The sequence below is a fragment of the Homo sapiens genome, chromosome 9 (genome assembly GCF_000001405.40).
Source record: "Homo sapiens chromosome 9, GRCh38.p14 Primary Assembly".
Classification (NCBI taxonomy): Eukaryota; Metazoa; Chordata; class Mammalia; order Primates; family Hominidae; genus Homo; species Homo sapiens.
The window spans coordinates 69,572,334-69,591,971 of record NC_000009.12 but is presented as its reverse complement, the minus strand read 5'-3'; the positions used below and the strand labels follow the sequence as shown (position 1 = coordinate 69,591,971).

Sequence of the window (19,638 nt, the reverse complement as noted above, 5' to 3'; positions counted from 1 at the left end):
TGTTGGATAGATATATTTAGGGGAGAAAACAGACTTTTTTTCCCCTTTTTTAAAGTTCTTAGCTGAGACACTTTTCTGAAAACAAAAATCAGATTAACAAAAGAAAAGCATGCAAAAGTTTATTAACATGCACTGTACCTATCACATGGGAAAGGCCTCGGTTCAAAAGCATTTCTCTCTCAAGGCAGTGGCTTAGGGGCCTTGCTTTAAAAGTATTTTAACGGATCTGTAAATCCTACATAGTGACAAGACAAAAGAGAGAACAGTTGCGGTGTTTTAAAAGGCGGGAAAATGAGGGAAGATGCTAAAATCTGTTCCCAGATTCCTCTGGTGCCAGCTTGGTGCCTCCTCTGGGCCGAGAAGTGCCATCTCCAGGAAGGAAGGATTCGTGCCCTGCCATCAGGTGGTTACAGGCTGAGGCAGAGTGTTACCCTGCATTTTCAATGTCTTTAACTTAACAACTGTCTTTGAAGGGAATTTTGGTTCCCTTCATATTGTTGACAAGCTTCTATGTTGAGCATTCAGAAGAAGTGGCAGACATGGTTCTTGGCTTTCAGATGTGTACTTAATCGAAGAGACTGGATATCTTATACATTAAGACATTTAGGAATATTTGTCAACCATCTGTATTTGAAAGTATAAACTACTATTCCACTGGAAGAGCTCTGTATTGATTGTGGATTCAGGAATCCACAGGGGAAGGCTAGATTCAGAAAAGACAGAGAACTAAAGAGAAGGGGAAAAGAGGCACCTGGAGAGAGGGGGAAATGCAGTTAACTGGACATCATCAGGACCTCACATCGGAAGTTCTGCCTTGAAAGCATTTGGAAAAATGGGGCCTCATAGGCAGTGCCTCTCTCCTCCCTCGGCTGCCTTGCCTCTGCTTCAGGAGGGAAGCATCACATGCAGTTTTTCACCTCCTCCCACAGTTTGGGACCATGGTACGGGGGACCTCTTGGAGTCATGGCAACAGTGGGAAAGGATTTTCTTCACGGGTCTATTCAGATTTGCACTTGGCAGAAAACTTTCAGCAGAAAGCCATTAGCTTTCTCTTAGGACTTTGGTTTTCAAGTTGAGTTTGGAACCAGAACTGAAGATTAAAACATGCAGAATATTCTCTATGCCATTTAGCTGTCTGCAGAAACCCACTGTTGCTGGGTACCCAGCCATGTCCCCTGCCCACCCCCACCCTGGCGAAGCTGGGAGTGAGAAGCCAGGGGAAGCACAGTGTATGCACATGGCCAGAAAAAGACTGACACAATTCGTGGGCATTAGAGCACGGTTCTCTTTCTGGAAATTGAGGGTGATTATTTCTCCTTCATTGTGTGCAGCATCCTTTTGAGATCGTTTGGGGAGGGATTTTGTCAGATTGGAGAATTGTGATTAATGGTGAAGGCCTTCGAGAGCCAGCCCATGTGAATGCATTATTCTCAGCTGCTTTCCCATCTGCACACACAGATTGCTCAGTGCCAGTGCTGTGAGGCCTCCAGAGCTGAGCTGGTCCAGCCTCATTATTTTGGCTGATGAACAAATAGACCCAGGGAGGGTAAGGAGCTTACCCTGCAGCACATAAGGAGCCGGCCCAAAGCCAGGACTAGAACCAAAGTCTCCCATGTCCACAGGATACTGTTTCCTCGCCTAACACAATGCCACTCTGTTCACCATTCAATTCAACAGCTATTTATTTGAACCTCGCTGGATCTGCCAGGAACTGGGCTAAGCCCTGGGGTTTCTAAAATAGGTAAAGCATGTTCCCACCCCAAGAGGAACTCATAGTCTAGGAGGGAGGGAGAAACATTGATAGTACATCTTGTTATTTTTAAAAAATGAAGAGAGGAATGAGCACAGGGATAGAAACTCAGAGGAAGAGCATGTGGACCATCCCAGGAGTGCTGAAGCAGGTGTCATTGGAGCTGAGGCTTAAAGGACTGGCAAGGGTGAGTTTTGGGAAGGAGGGTGAAAAGAGCAGCTCAGAGGAGGAGCGGCATGAGCCCCACCTGCTGTGCTTCCACTACCAAACCAAGTCCTCATGCTCCTCCATAGAGAAGCAGGAGGGGCTTCACCTTTAATTCAGTACCATCATTTCTCTTAAAATTGCAGGTAGAATATACAGTGAGTATTTTGGATTTTTCTTTTTCTATTTCATCAAGTAGAAGATGGACCTAAAATGTTTGGCCAGAGAGAAATAGAAAAGCCAATCCCAGTTTAAATTGTTTGAATCTGATTCAATCAGGATCTCAGATCTTCCGGTTCACGATTTCAGCTTGTTTTGAAAGCTAACTGAATTGAGGAGGGGGCAGGGCACAGAATGAGTTTTGGCTTTAATACACTAAAGACTACCCCAATAACCTGAAAGACCCAGTAGAAAACCATGGGCTAAATGAGATACTGAATGAAAGCTGGGTACTGAGACCCCCACCCTTCCTTGTTTCTGGTGATTTCATGCTCCAAATCTTGTCATGATACACTGCACACATCCCTCTGTATAGTGCTTTAAGTGGTTGTGAGAGAGGAAGGGGAGCCCATGGGTCAGAAACCCCTTGTTACATGGAAAGAGCAGAGAAAGAAGAATTAGAGTGGATGCCTTCTCTGTCTGGGCCTAGCATCACGTCATTTGGTCTTTTCCCATGAGCAATGGAATCAAGCAACAGTGATTGATTATCTTCTAAGTACAAAGCATTTTGCTAAGTGCTTTGAGGATATCAAGAATGAGACACACCGGGAGCAGTGGCTCATGCCTATAGTCCCAGCACTTTGGGAGGCCAAGGCAGGTGGATCGCTTGAGCCCAGGAGTTTGAGACCAGCCTGGGCAACATGGTAAAACCCCATCTTTAAAAAAAATTACAAAAATTAGCTGGGCATGGTGGTGTGTGCCTGTAGTTCCAGCTACTCAGGAGGCTGAGGTGGAAGGATGGCTTGATTCTGGGAGGCAGAGGTTGCAGTGAGCTGAGATTGTGCCACTGCATTCCAACCTAGGCAACAGAGCCAGACCCTGTCTCGAAAACAAACAAAAAAGCATGAGAAGATACTATTCTTCCCCTCAAGCCCCTTATAGAGAGCAAGGTCTCATGCTATATAAGGTAGAACTGTACTGCTTATTTACTTAGTAGCCTTGTTAATGTTGGCAAGGAAGTATGAGCTTCAATTTCATCTGTAAATTGGAGGCACTAGTTACAGGGATGTGGTGAGATTAAATGAGATAATCTATGTAAAGCTCCTAGCATAATGCCTGCCATATGATACGTACTCAGTTAATATTAGTTGCCATAATCGTGATCATCATTGTGGTGCAGAGGAACTAAGCTCTGACTTGTAAGCTCTGATGTCTATGTTGACATCTCCACATGGATCTTTAACAAGCAGATCAAACTTAACATGTCCAAAAAATGGAAGTGCTGATTATTTTCCTCTCCAAACTGTTTTTTTTTCTCATCTTCACAACTGATTAAATGGCATCACCATGTTATTGCTAAAACCAAAGACTTGGGGGACATCATTGATTTCCTCCCTTTTTCTTTTCCTTGATTTCCAACCAACAAACAAGTTTTGTCTTTGCTGCTTCTTAAAAAAAAAAATCATGAACTTGCCTATTTCTCTCCCATCTCTGCTGCTACCACTCTGGTCCAAGGCACCATTGTCTGTTGCGTTTCATTTGTAGCTCTTTAATTCTCCCACTGTCAATAAGCTTTTTAATGACATTGCCCCCTTTTCTGTTTCTCCAATATGCCAACCCCTTTCTTACCTGAGGGCCTTTGCACTAGATATTTCATCTAATGGGAACGTTCTTTCTTTCTCCCCAGTAGCTTCATTATTTGCTTGCCTTTGCATATCAGGTATCTGTTCAAATGTCATTCCCACAAAGAGGTCTTCCCTGACACTGCTTCTTTCACCTACCTCACCCACCACCCAGTTTCTTTCTTTTTCTTTCTTTTTTTTTTTTTTTTTTGAGACAGAGTCTTGTTCTGTCACCCAGGCTGCAGTACGATGGCACAATCTCAATTCACTGCAACCTCCACCTCCCGGGTTCAAACGATTCTCCTGCCTCAGCCTCCTGAGTAGCTGAGATTACAGGCACCCAACACCATGCCCAGCTAACTTTTTGTATTTTTGGTAGAGACGGGGTTTCACTATGTTTGTCAAACTGGTCGCAAACTTCTGACCTCAAATGATCCGGCTACCTCAGCCTCCCAAAGTGCTGGGATTACAGGCTTGAGCCACCACGCCGGGCCAATATCACAGTACATTCTTTTATTTTTTCTGGAACATCTCCATGGCTGCTACCAAAGGTGGGTCGTGGGGAAGTACTGGAGAATCTTATTGGATGTTTTTTGGAGAGGGCTTGGAAGTGGTTTACATCACTTCTACTCATAATTCTTAGACAGACTTCAGTCTCATATACCGAACCTACTTGCAAGGGATGCCGAGAAATGTCATTTTCTCATGTGCTCAGGAAGATGAAACAGTGTGGCAAACACATCTTTGACTTCCACAGCTCATGTAACTGAAAGTCCAAGTGTGTGGCTTACAGATACACCAATGACACCAATCTCCAGTTTTTCTCTCTCCAACTCTGGATTCTCTTTCAGTTTGGCCACATTCTCAGATAGGCTGTCCTCTTGCTTACAGTGGCAAATAAACAATGAGGCTCTTTCCTGGAAGCCCCAGTGGAAGTCTTCTAGACTCTGGGGCACCTGCCCATCACAGAACCAATTACTGTGATGAAAGGAATGTGACCCATTGATTACCTTGGACCACTATTGTGTTCTCCATCACTGAATTTGGAGGATGGGGAGGCAATTGAACCATAGTGAGTTGAGACTGGGAATGGATGAAGCTTTAAAAAGCTCTTGTGGGAAGTAGGATGAATGGATGCCAGTGGCAAAAAAAGGACAAAAATGTTCACTACAACAGCATATAAGATTTATCAACCAACAATATACAATTCTAAACACTCTGATCAATGGACCATATTTTCTTCTTGAATTACCTTTAGTGACAATGGTCTCTACCAGAAGCACATACAGCCAAACTATTTTTTAAAGTATATGGAACTCTTGGTTCTTTGCTTCATCATACTTTAGGCTGAATTTTTTTGTTGACTAAGGAGAGAGCTAAGTGGCTTCATTCTAGTAAAAAGTACTTATTTGGGGTTGTTAGTTGTAATGGGCAGCCAGGTCTTCCCTTATATTTCCCACCTCTACAGAGTTCTTAGAAAATGCAGATATAGTTCATTTTTTAGGCAACAAGGAGAGGATGATCTGGAAGCAGCATTGGGAATTAAGGAAGACACCAACTGTTCCTCCTAGTCCAGGAAAACAAGGGCTGTGTAAAGAAACCACCACCATTTGAGACCTTTACAAGGGAAGCAGTGTCCTCATGAGAGCACCAAACTGTGGCTAGAGAAAGAAAATGAAGAATGTTCCACAAAGAGGTTGGCTTTAAAAATCCCCTGCCCAAAAGCCAGGTTATCATGATTTCAGCTCAGGTATGGGCTGAATCAAGGAAAACCTCAGAGGTCAGTCAACTGGAGGCCAGCCGTTGTTGAGTTATGGTCACTCAACAAATATATGTGTTGAGACCGTGATGTGCTAGCCCTCAGGTTCAGCATCAAATACATATCAAAAAAATAGAAACTCTGATAATAAGAGATGTATAAACAATCACAGCATAATATAGGGAGATCTGATTCTGAGCTGCTTGTATACAGTAAGGGGCAAGGAGATGCCAATAGTCAATCTGGACACAACATTCAGCACGTAGAGTTAGTTGCTGTAAAGGCCAAGCCCTAGAAGCATACTGATCTGTTTTTATAGTGGTTATTATGTATGGATGGGTGTTGAGTGATGGCTCTAGCTGCTTGCCCCAGCAGAAATCCTGTTGAGCAGCTGCAGTAAGGGTTCAGGAGTTCTATGACAGCAGAGTAAAATCCATGGGCCAGACAATTGGTCATTGCAACAGGTTCCATCATGAAGTGACGAGGCAAACATATTCATAGGTGGGCAGTCTAGAATAAGGCTCAACTTAAAAATGCCAGGACAGGTTGCCAGCAGGTCGCAGAGCCCACCCCAGGGCCATATGAGAGGCTGGATTTGGGTTTTGGGGATGAGATAAGCAGGAGAAAGGCAGATGGTCCCAAGTCCTAGGAGTACAGGAATGCTCAGCAGGTGAGCAGATGGGCTTTGGTACAGGGAATAAATAGAAATTCCATCACCAGAAATGAGTCACTGCTTAGGATATAAGTCTTATGAACAGGGAGAGAGTCCACTTTTCATACCGTGAGTACAGATCAGAAACAGTCAAGGGGATCTGGACACTGGGCCCTGTATGTTAGACCAGAGCTCCAGAAATCCCACCAGCAGCAGGTCAGGACTGAATTGTGGGGACCTGGGTGGCCTGAGCCTACAGCTGGAGTCAGATGGTACCCCTGGGCCAAGGGAGAGATGCAGAAGCTGGGACTCAAAGCCACAGCTTTGTCTGGCCCATGAGGCATCCCCCTTCTCTCCAGGGCACATTGGGCTAGGCCAGCCTTTGGCCCTGGCAAGAATGAAGGAAGCGGGCACACACCCCTTTCCTTGAGCCTCAGTCTCTTCTTATCATCTCTTCTGTTGTCATTTAGAGGATCCTGGCAGAGGTTTTGGGTCAGTAGCTAAGTTGACTCACCTTACAGATTATTGTGGTTCAGCAACTTTTTTAGTCTTTAAGTCTTTCTCCTCTGCTTTTAGTATTTTAAGGAGCAGATAATTTTTCAAATGCAAATTTCCTAATTAGATATAGCATTCTCACTACCTGACATATTATGTATTTATTTGTTTGCTGTTTATATCACCTAAAAGGATTGTCAGCTCCCCAAGGGCAGGGCCTTTGTTTTGTTCACTACTGGGTTCCCAGTGCCAAGAACAGTGTCTGTCACATAATAGATGCTCAGCATGTTTGTTGAGTGAACAAATGTGAATAAATGAATAAGCAAGTCAACATTCCATTCTTGTGGGCTTGGCTGGCTCTAATCTGTCCACAGACACATTATACCCAAATGAGATAATTCATGGGTTTGTGCTAAGTAATCAGAAGTTTTCTCTGGATATGGTAGGCAAATTATGACTAATTCATCCTGGACATAATGAAATGATCATTCCTTTGTTTTGTTAGTTACTCTAAGAGTAATTTGGATTTTTATGTCATTCAAACTTTGACCCTTCTCATTTTCCTACAAGAATATAAGCTTTGCTTGTTTGTATTTATAATCAGTGGGATGGATTTCACTTCATTGAAAGGGCATTATTTCCCCTTTTAAAATGGACCTATGTTAAAGTTTGCTATAATTTACTGAATGCTTACTCTGTACTTGGCACTGTTCTAAGTGTATCAGCTCATCTTTGTAATAGTTGTACGTGGCATGATTCTTCTTCCCATTTTGCCTGTGGAGAAGTTGGAGCACAGAGAGGTTAAGTAACTTGCCTAAGGTCATACTGCTAATAAGTAAAGGATCTGGGAGCATCCTTAGCCATCAGACTACACAGCCTATAATGGTACATTAGTAAACATCACTTATGTCTTCATTTATTGAGTGAATAGAGGATAGATATGTTGACTGCTTCATAGGCTTAATGTGAGGATAAAATGAGTTAATACAGCCAAAACACTTAAAACATTGAACAAATGTTAACCTTTTTCATCCACTACCACCCTCTAGGAACTCACAGTCTTATAGAGGAGACAGTATGATAAATATACTTTTACACACACACACACACGGAGATGTACACATATGGATGGAAACATACATATCTATCTCATTATATTTTTATTTGGGATTAATCAATATTTTCTTTCACTGGCAGAAGTTGGGAGAGAAAAGCTGGAGCCAGGGACATGAAGTTTATTTTGAAACACACAAGAAGGGAGTGTGGCTCACAGCTGGAGAGATTACTAATCTTAGCCATTCCTCAGTTGCCTGATAGAAAAGCATTTACACATAGAAAACGGCTGGCATTTATTCTGCACTCACTATGTGCTGGACACTGTGCTAAGCACTTTACATGGATTACGCCCTTGAATCCTCATCTCATGCCTTCACATTAGGTACCATTATCCACATTCAAGAGATGAAGAGATAGAAGCCTGGGAGGCTAAGTACTTGCCTGGGGTTCCCCAGCTGGCTCGTGCATGCTACAAAGCCAGAGCTTTTAATGATTCCGCAGTATCACAAGATCCCTAATTGGGGCAGAGGAGGTCAGCCATGAAAACTGCTGCTATCTAAGGCTTCTCATGAAATGCAGGGCATGGTTAGGGTAGAAACTCTGGTAATTTTTAAAATTGTATAATTAGAAATCTCTTTTAAGATGATTTTTAACATTTTAAATCCCATTCATTTGCTGGATAATTTTCTTGAGTTAGCTCTAATAACATCATTTTAGTATAATCATTTGAGATACAGGAGCTTAAGATAGAATTCTTAAGAACAGTGTCTGATTGCTGACAGGTAATTTTGTGGTTCAGTACTAGATTTAAGATAAGTCCCAGTTGTCACAGCTATGAACACTCAGGATTTCTGTACAGGGTTGTGGTGTTGAACCCCTATTAACCTCAATAGGGAAGGCACTAGGTTCAAGGGGCTGAAGAAGAGACCGAGAGCCAGCAAAGGAGACCTGGGGTTTTTTTAGGGGCTCACATAGAGCGGACAGAGTCCAGTGGTGGTGGGCTGGACTAGATAACCAACAGTGGTGGTGGACTGGGTGGGAAAGCCACAACTGCTTGCAAGCAGCATGCAGTCTATATAGCATTTCCACTTAATACCTTCCCCCTAATGACCTCCACCTGGCAATTCATTTAATCCAAATCACAGGGGTCAATCGCCTGTACTGCGCCTGTTCCACAGGACAGCCTGGGGGCTCAGATGTTCCTCATAGACAAAGAACAGATCTCTGGGTTGGCCATACCAGATTCCTTAGCTCAGAACACACATTCAGATACAGCTTCCATACAGGATCATTCTAAGGGTATGCTCAAGTGATTGCTGACAAGTGCATTTACCCTACAAAGCTGGTTGTATTTTTCTTCATTCATTTGTTTCATTCATTCATCCACTCACTCAACAAATACATAGTGAGTCTACACAGGATTTGTTCTATGTGAACATGACAGCTTCCAGCTTGATGGATCTCCTCTCACTTTCATAGCGGAAGGAACTGGGCAAACAAGCTCAGGCAGGAAATGAGCAAGTAATGGGGAAGAATAAGTCCCCATTAGAAGGAGGAGCCACCAGGAGTGGGTGGGGCTGGTGAAGTGGGACCAAAATGGGAACAGCCTGAATGGGAAGATAAAGCCAGTAGGGTAGAAGCAGAGAGGATGCCAAAGGAGCAAGCAGGACAAATCAGTGGTATTTCCCCCATTTTGACAGAGTCAGAAGCAGGTACCAGGCTAGAAGAAACTGGGGAGGTGGAATGGGAAGTAATATTGAGCCAGAGGAAAGAGTAGCAGACAACTTGCCTAAAATCTGCAAGAATACCCAGTTTGCACATTCCTTTGTCTGTGGTTTGGTTTGATAGGCTGTTGCATCACTATCTCATTATCTAATTGTCCAGGGTGGAGAAAGCGACCCGTCCCGCAGTAGAAGCAGGTAGGAAAGTGTGAGATTTCACTTCTTTGTTTGGACTCCTGGAGTGCCTAAAAGGGGAACTTACTTATGAGCGAGCCTCCCACTGTTTGTTTATCTTACTTTGTATCTGATCATTTAAATCAGAAAACAAATTATGACTCACTTTGATGTGTTAAGTGCTCGGTTAGATGCCCAAAGCCACTTAGAATAGGTGTATCTATTGACTGAAAATGTAGCTTCTCTTTTCAGAAGAGAAGTAAATAATTGTAAATTGTGTAAATAAATTTGTGTAAATAACTTGGTAATCACTAAAAAAGGTCTTCAGACCTTTTGGAAGAATCAACACAGCAACACACAGTTTAGCTGCCTGTGAAAAGCTATTGCAGTCCCATGAGGACACTTAACACATTGGCCTTGGATCTGGGACTCTATCAACCCACTAGACCATACTGGGCTGTGGTCACTCTTTTACAGAGTGCCTTCAGCCTCCACAGTGTGCCCTCACAAAATGTCTCAGAGGGAAGCCAGGCCCTTGTCCTTATCCTCAAATTACCCTCAAAGAGACTAAAACTCAGCTCAGCAGCTGAGGTGACTTGACCGGGGTCACATAGCTGGGAGGTAACTGAGGTGGGATTTGAATTCAGATCTGCTCTTCCTCAGTGCAATAGTCCTTCCCCCATGCCCCGCTTATTCCCTAGGGCATTGTCAGTGGGGAATATTCTTCCTGAAGACTCCTTCCTTCACTCATTAGTTATTTAGTGCCTACTGTGTGCCGATACTGTTCTAGGCTAGTCATGTCTCTGCCTTCTTATCCTGAAACCAAAGTTCAAAAGACAAAATATGAGAGTACTTGAAGTGTGAATGATTCACGTAGTCAACTCTCTGCCCCCGCAAACACACCTGAAGGCAGTATATTTCCCTCACAAAATAATTTATCCCCTTGTACTATGTGACTTTTCCAAAGGAGGCAGAACTTCTTTTTTTTTCTACCTTCAGAGAAATGTAGTGAGCTAATATTTCTGAATACACTAAGGTAAATGTCAAGGATGTTTTATCAGTGAATCTCAGGGGCTGCTCTTACTTTTCACTTGCAACAGAAATAATAGTAGTGGCCATGCAAACATATAATCCCAAGGTGAAGAAATTGCAGGGCAGGGTGAGGGGAAAATGCATTTTGACACCCTTGCTTTGACTGATACCATTTAAGTGGCCTATATTGAGCCTGAATTTGATTTAGGTCAGATGTACCAGTAAATTACAATGCCAGAAAAGGGTGTCTGGAGATGACGCCGTTTGTGGGGTGTATCCATGGTATCTCTGATTGGGGCCATCTTTGATCTGTGTCCCCTGCTGCTCAGGAAATGACTGGCTATAAATGATATAAGATATCAGAGGCTCACAGAGGCATGGCAAAGATGGATCCAGGTCAGAATACCCATCAGGGGCCTTCAAAAGCAATTCAGCTATTCAGTTTAGGGATAGCTCTTTAGCTCCTAATGGGTCTTCATTTTAGCTGCTTGAGAACAACCCTGTCAAGCTGCCAAGGTGACATGGAGAGGGATATGCGAAGTTTATGTAGTGGGGAGCTGAAGGTACTTTATATAGCCACAGGATTCTGTAGGCTCAATCAGTATGTGTCATGTGGAACACCGTTCAGTGGAGTGAAAAGCATTTCACGCTTTTGGTTTTTCAAAGGAAGCCTGTCAGCAAGTTTCCTACAGCAAAAAATAACTGTGCTGTGGTTGAACTTCACTAAGAGTCCTAGCCAATCAGATAATGTCATACCACCATGAGGAGATATTTAGGGCTTTGCCAGAATAATAGGGTACTAATCACTGCTAATAGGATTTGTTGACACGGGCCAGGAGGGTTGGTCATGACCATTGGAATATTGATTTTTACCCTTCAGGCAAAGTCCATCTTCCTTTCTCAGTGTCTGTCCTCTGTCCTGAGTTCAGGCAGGGTGAGGAAAAGCTGGTGCAGTGAAGCTCTGCTCAATATGAAGGTTGCTAGGGCTTGATCTGAAGTAAAGGAATTAATATTTAAATACCCACTCAGTGTTAACCCTGAAACCACCCATCCTCTGTGCCCTTGGCAGACACTGCTCATGGACAACAGCACTCACCCATTAAGCCCAGATTCAGGCTCCGAATCCTCGATAGAAGGCTTCTGGCAGCTGCAACCAATCAATAACGTTTGGCAAGCAAAACAGCACCAGTGGGCCATCCAGGTATTTAAAATGATTTCCTCAAGGACACAGACCACAGCTTCCCATCTCCTCACATGTTCTTGGCTGTCTTTGCTGCCCAGTAAACATCTGTTGTTAAATTAGAACTTGCATTTTGAGAACTGTATCCACAGCCAGATGTAGCTACATTTTTTTTAAGGAAGTAGGAAAATATCCATATGGGGCTACAGATAACCGCATCTCTGGGTCAAAGGCTGACTGATACAGTTAGGTGTGTGCACAGCTATAAAAACCACTCCTGTGGCTAAGTGACTTTTGACAAATGGGATAAAATGAGCAAGAATCAAATTAGATCTATTTCCAAATTGGCTTTTCTCTTTTCTGTCCTCTCCTTCCTCTTCCTTGACCCACTTGTTTTCCTCTTTCCATCTTATTTCAATTATAACATATTTACAGGAATCCGGCAACATGCATTATTGTGACCTACCACTTTGTGAGCACCAAGACGGTTTTGGTGAGATGCTTAAGAACATTGGCTTAAAATCCAGACTGCCTGGGTTTGATTCCCCAGCCCCTTCCATTACTAGCTGTGTGACCTTGGCCAAATTACATAATTTCTTATAACCTCAAAGTCCTCAGCAATAAAATGGGGCTGGTAACAGCATCATTTTACTCTCACATAGATGAATATAAAATGTAGCTCCTGCCTTCATTGTAAATGAGGAATTGGACTGGTTAAAAAATGAAACAGAAAAATACAGACATTCCTCCTATAGTTAAAGTCCGCATAAAGCAAATGAATATATGAGAGCCAATACCTTGAGGAACATGTCCTTTATGTAGCCTCTGTTGACAATGACCCCATCTTGCTCGGGGATTAGCAACATTCTTAGGGGGAAAAGAAAAGTGCTGCTCCCGGTGCAGGCCAGGGGCATTCCTCATGTGGCTGTGCACATTGTGACCACAGTGGGGCTGCAGTATGTAGAGTATAGGGTGCTGATGCTGGCTCCATGCAGGAGAGTTAAAGGTTGGGGAGACCCTTCATATTGAGTCACATGTTAACAAGCAGAGGTGCCTCAGTGAGGTATGGGTTTTTTGTTTTAAGCTGTACTCACTTATCTTAAAAAAAAAACTCGTTGAAATTTCTGTAGGAAATAGAACTTGGTTGTTGCTGGAACTGCATTCACTAACCCTCTTTTACTCAGTAAAAGAATGGCTTCCTGTAGTGCAGTTTTTGACAACCCAAGGTTTCTTATCCATCTGTTCAACAACAGTTCAGTGCCTAATATATGCTAACATGGTGCTGGGTACAATGGTGTCCACAAAGGCAGAGTCACTGTCCCTACAATTTGTGAAGTTGTGATAAAATTGCAATTGTTAAAATGCAGACATACTATTGTTGCAGACAGATTTTGTGTGCTAAGCTAGACTGTTAAGACTAGAAGGAGAACAGCAGAGATGGCACCAGTTGGTGGCCAGGGGAGGGGGCTCCCCACTCCTGTAAAATCTGCCACATCTTCCCTGGCCACCCTTCTACATAATGACATTCCCAAAGATAGATCATTTATTTCTCAATCTTTGTAAAGTATGAATAAAATTGTTTTGAGAAACCGTGATTTTTTAATTTAAAGTCTGTAAAACATTGTTTTTAAGTGGCAACCAGATTGCCACCTCAAAGCCCCTTTTATCCAGAAATTCAGGGTGGTATTTAGAGAGGAGAAATGAGTGAAGGTGAGAAGACCCAGAGAACCCCCAGCAGAGGATGTTCTGCAAGTTGAGCCTCAAAAGATGATTGAAATCTTGACCCTAGATGCCCTGGCCTTCCCATACCTATCAGCGCATGCTCACAAAGAAAACCACCATGTGGCCAGCTGTGCTGTGGCTTGGAGAGGCAGGGTCTGTGGGGACATAGAAGCAGCTTTAGCAGTTGGATCCGTGCTCCAGTGTAAAGGGCTGGCTTCCCAGTGAGCACAGAAAAGGCCTGGAGTCTGCTTCTCATGCTGTGTTGGGCTTTGCCAAGGGCTCCCTTGCCACTACAGCTGGGATGTCCTAATTTGGCTTGGTTGATTTAACTTCTCACTTTAGAGGAAGAAAGTAAGATCGATGTTTTCTAATTTGCCTCTAGGCTCCTTTTACACTTACCTTCAACACAGCCAATCTAGGGTCCTTCATTTTAGGTGAGCTGAGAGGTACAGAAGAAAGTGTTTGCAGGGTCCCTTGGGATGATAGGCTTTCTCCAGTTGGGCCAGTGCTGGTGATTGCCTGGGTTGCTGCCACACTGGGAGCATTGTGGTGGTGAAGTCCAGACAGGTGAATTCCAGCTGTGCTACCTTAGATAAGTCCCTTCACCTCTCTGGGCCTTGTTTTTATCATCTAAAATATGAAGCTCTTAAAAAAAGGTTTTCTCAGACTGGTTAGCCAGATGATTTTAAGTGGCTAAAGGATGAGCATTCTTTATATACTAATATATGTATTTATTTTTCATTGTCATATTCCATTTATATGAAGTGATACCAGATTTTTATAGTGATGATTGCATTTCTTTTGAAGTAATTTTATTTGAGTAACATTTCCCTCCTGTGGTTTCTTCACTCACAGCTGACCCACCACAACTCTTTACTTGCCTTGTTCAGATGGTCCTAAATTGTAAACCCTCCAGTCTCCTTTCCAAAGCTTTCTCTCTTGGCCATCTATTCAATGGTGGTCTTGAGGGAAACTGTTCCCCTTGTGTGCTGGTGTACTGGAGTGGGTCGCCAATGGAAAATCAGAAAACCACCTGGGTTTCCCATAATGTGGGGCTGGTCCAGTCCAGAGCTTCCTAGTTTTCCCTCAGTCTCATGTCACCATCACAGCTGTTGCCATGTCTATGCACCCTGTCTACTCATGATGACTCAATATTTTCTTCACATAGACCAAGTTGATTATTTACTCAATAAAATTATTCACAAATTACAGCTAGATAGGGAAGAGTAAATTCTAGTCTTCTATACCATTGTAGGATGACCATAGTTAACAATAATATATAGTTTCCAATAGCTAGAAGGAGGATATTCTGTTTTCCCAACACAAAGAAATGATAAATGTTTGAGATGATGGATATGCTAATTACCCTGATCTGATCACTATACTTTATACATATCAAAACATCACCATGTACCCCATAGATATGTGCAACTATTGTCAATTTTTAGAAAGTGAAATCAAAAAATAAAAATTAAAAGATTTTTATCATCCCTCCAAAAATAAAAAAATTTGAAAATTATTTTTAATAATTAAACAATATTTTATATTTTATAGTAAATTTTATCACACAAATAATGCATAATTTTTTTATTATACTTTAAGTTTTAGGGTACATGTGCACAACGTGCAGGTTTGTTACATATGTATACATGTGCCATGTTGGTGTGCTGCACCCATTAACTTATCATTTAACATTAGGTATATCTCCTAATGCTATCCCTCCCCGCTCCCCCTACCCCACAACAGGCCCCGGTGTGTGATGTTCCCCTTCCTGTGTCCATGTGTTCTCATTGTTCAATTCCTACCTATGAGTGAGAACATGAGGTGTTTGGTTTTTTGTCCTTGCGATAGTTTGCTGAGAATGATGGTTTCCAGCTTCATCCATGTCCCTACAAAAGACATGAACTCATCCTTTATTATGGCTGCATAGTATTCCATGGTGTATATGTGCCACATTTTCTTAATCCAGTCTGTCATTGTTGGACATTTGGGTTGGTTCCAAGTCTTTGCTATTGTGAATAGTGCCGCAATAAACATAAGTGTGCATGTGTCTTTATAGCAGCATGTTTTGTAATCCTTTAGTATATACCCAGTAATGGGATGGCTGGGTCAAATGGTATTTCTAGTTCTAGATCCTGAGGAATCGCCACACTGACTTCCACAATGGTTGAACTAGTTTACAGTCCCACCAACAGTGTAAAAGTGTTCCTATTTCTCCACATCCTCTCCAGCACCTATTGTTTCCTGACATTTTAATGATCACCATTCTAACTGGTGTGAGATGGTATCTCATTGTGGTTTTGATTTGCATTTCTCTGATGGCCAGTGATGATGAGCATTTTTTCATGTGTCTTTTGGCTGCATAAATGTCTTCTTTTGAGAAGTGTCTGTTCATATCCTTCACCCACTTTTTGTTGGGATTGTTTGTTTTTTTCTTGTAAATTTGTTTGAGTTCATTGTAGATTCTGGATATTAGCCCTTTGTCAGATGAGTAGCTTGCAAAAATTTTCTCTTATTCTGTAGGTTGCCTGTTCACTCTGATGGTAATTTCTTTTGCTGTGTAGAAGCTCTTTAGTTTAATTAGATCCCATTTGTCAATTTTGGCTTTTGTTGCCATTGCCTTTGGTGTTTTAGACATGAAGTCCTTGCCCATGCTTATGTCCTGAATGGTATTGCCTAGGTTTTCCTCTAGGGTTTTTATGGTTTTAGGTCTAAGATTTAAGTCTTTAATTCATCTTGAATTGATTTTTGTATAAGGTGTAAGGAAGGGATCCAGTTTCAGCTTTCTACATATGGCTAGCCAATTTTCCCAGCACCATTTATTAAATAGGGAATTCTTTCCCTATTTCTTGTTTTTGTCAGGTTTGTCAAAGATCAGATAGTTGTAGATATGCGGCATTATTTCTGAGGACTCTGTTCTGTTCCATTGGTCTATATCTCTGTTTTGGTACCAGTACCATGCTGTTTTGGTTACTGTAGCCTTGTAGTATAGTTTGAAGTCAGGTAGCGTGACGCCTCCAGCTTTGTTCTGTTGGCTTAGGATTGACTTGGCAATGCAGGCTCTTTTTTGGTTCCATATGAACTTTAAAGTAGTTTTTTCCAATTCTGTGAAGAAAGTCATTGGTAGCTTGATGGGGATGGCATTGAATCTATAAATTACCTTGGGCAGTATGGCCATTTTCACGATATTGATAATATTTTATGCTTAAATAATAATAGTAATAATTGGGCCGGGTGCAGTGGCTCACACCTGTAATCCCAGTACTTTGGGAGGCTGAGGCCAGTGGATTGCTTGAGCCCAGGAGTTTGCAACCAGCCTGGGCAACATGTTGAAACCCTATTGCTACAAAAAAATACAAAAATTAGCCAGGAGAGGTGGTGCACACCTGTAGTCTGAGCTACTTGGGAGGCTGAGGTGGGAGGATCACTTGAGCCCAGGAGGTTGAGGGGCTGCAATGAGCTGAGATTGCACCACTGCACTCCAGCCTAGGCGACAGAATGAAACCCTGTCACAATAATAATAATTGTGTAAAGTTCTATACACTGGACACTCAGAGTAATGAATAGACCGTGGGCATTTCATAGTCTCCCTGTGCTGCTCTACCCTGACTTGGCTTCCCTCCTGTCTCCAGAGGTGACCACTATCCATAATATTGCAAATAGTCTTTTTGGCTTATTATTTATCACGAAGCAGTATTTTTGCTTGTTTTGCTGCTTTTTCACTTTCTATGAAAGAAAATAAATGGATCCATGTTTCAAAAAACTACTTGTAAAGTTTTTGTGAATGCTTTTTATATTACCTAAAATAAGAGCAAAACCAGCACACCAACTACAAAAAATTAGGAGGACCCTTATGCTGTTTAAACATTTGTTCCCTAGAAACCTCACAGGATCTCTTTCTCCAGAGTTCCAAAAAGAGATCAGTACATTCATTTGCTTTATGGGGCAGGCTATGCATATATAGAGAGGATTTTTTTTAATGTGAATTTATTAATCCAAGTCTATTCTGCTGACCAAAATTTTCAGCCTGGAGTGAAGCAAGTAAAGTTGTTTGCGAAGAAAGGTCCACAGAAGGAGGGGAAACTGGTTGGAGAAGCAATCACTGCATTAGAGATAGGACAAAATGAGGCTCTGTCGTAATAGTTCACAAACTTGGGCATGCTCAGAACTATTCTGGGAACTTTTTCAAAATACAGATCCCTGTGCCTGCTCGTCAGGGCGGTATGGACCCAGGTGATTCCTATGCAAGGCCAGGGGGATGCACCATGTTTTGAAGTTCACCATCTTCATGTAAAAGTTTCCTGTCTGTCTTAAATATATCTAGGGGACTTGTTTTATTAATTAGACATTTATCTGAAGATACATAAATATGTATATAAGTACACACACATATACAAACATAAATAAATTACTATTTTTGTAGGACAAAAATGTTTGTGTATCACCAATTTCGTATTACCTAATAAGGCAAAGTTTCAAAGAAGGTGTCATAACTGGGGTTAAAGGAGAGGAAATATCACTGAACAGGAATGTAATGATATCAAAGTGCTGTTTCTAAGTCATCATGCTGAGTTTCAGGAACTCCCATTTCACAGCCAGCTGTCTGGCCTCTGCAGGCAGAATGCCAAGGAAATGGAGCTGAGTCTTCCTTTTCCACAGGACCCCAGCAGAGGCCCCTCCAAGAGTAATATGTGTGCATCACCAGGGACCCAGGCGCTGCAGCTTGGAAATTGTCAGAAACTGCTGAAGCTCTTCGCAAGAATACCGTTTTGCAGGGGAAGACATGAATACTAGCTATTTAGTGGGTTCATTTAGAGTACCGCAGCAGTAAATACAAAAGACTGGGACTAGAATCTAAAGATATCACACCCTACACTTTGGCAATGTAAAATCAAAATCTTAAGATGTTCAAAGTCAACAATTTTGTGAATTGTATTCTGTAAATACAACAATGCTGTAAATTGTATTTTATTTTACTATTTTTGAGACAGGATCATATTCTGTCACCCAGGCTGGAGTGTTGTAGCACAATCATGGCTCATTGCAGCCTTGAACTCCTGGGCTCAGGTGATCCTCCTGCCTCAGTCTCCCAAGTACCTGGGACCACAGGTGCCTGCCACCACACCCAGCTAATTTTTAAATTAGCTTGTTGCCCAGGCTGGTCTCAAACTCTTGGGCTTAAGCAATCCTCCCACCTTGGCCTCCCAAAGTGCTGGGGTTACAAGCAGGAGCCACTGCGCCCAGCCAAATTGTATTCTTCTTCTTCTTCTTTATTTATTTATTTTTTTTGAGATGGTCTTGCTCTGTCGCGAGGCTGGAGTGCAGTGGTGCGATCTCAGCTCATTGCAACCTCTACCTCCTGGGTTCAAGCGATTACCCTGCATCAGCCTCCTGAGCAGCTGGGAGTACAGGTGCACACCACCACACCCAGCTAATTTTTTGTATTCTTAAAAAAGATTTATGTACTGGGATGGTCTCTATAAATACCTCTCCCCACCCCAAAACAAGGGACTGCATAGGAAAGAAAATAGTTAAATCATAAAACCTATAACAGTGAAATATTATGCAACCACCAAAAGTCATATTTTTTGAAGATGAGTAACATGGCAAAAAGCCATCCAGGCACCCAACAGCTTAGTATCTACTGTTTATGAAACCCTGTGGTAAATAAGCATTCAGGATGGAGATCACAGCTCTCATGTGGAGGAGTTTTCAGTTTAGTGGAAGAGAGAGGGAAATAAACAGGCAAACAAAATGTGGCAAATGCTCAGATGGAGGTGTGTACTGGGGGCTCCAGGACTCCCAAAGACAGGCACCTAGCCCAGACAAGAGGTCTAGAAAGATCACAAGAGGATAGGTACTTGAACTGGGTGGGCGTGAGTTGGCCACAGTAGAGATGAAGTGAGAGGGGGTTTCTAGAAAGGGAACAATACACATGAAGGCAGTGATAGCTGCAGGGGCTAGTATTTGGTCAGCTTCAAATAATTCCTTCTGACTGGAGCTTCAGGTGACTGGGGAAGGAGTAGGAGTGAGGGAGATGCAGGGGCATGGATGCAGCTGGAAGCCATTATCCTCAGCAAACTAACGCAGGAACAGAAAACCAAACACTGCA

The 19,638-nt window shown here is 42.4% G+C and overlaps 1 protein-coding gene across 4 annotated transcripts in view; it reads left to right on the top strand.

Annotated features, from left to right (window-relative positions):
* Nucleotides 1-19,638, top strand: part of APBA1 (amyloid beta precursor protein binding family A member 1) — a 245,482-nt gene that overhangs the window by 81,042 nt on the left and 144,802 nt on the right. The window lies entirely within an intron of this gene.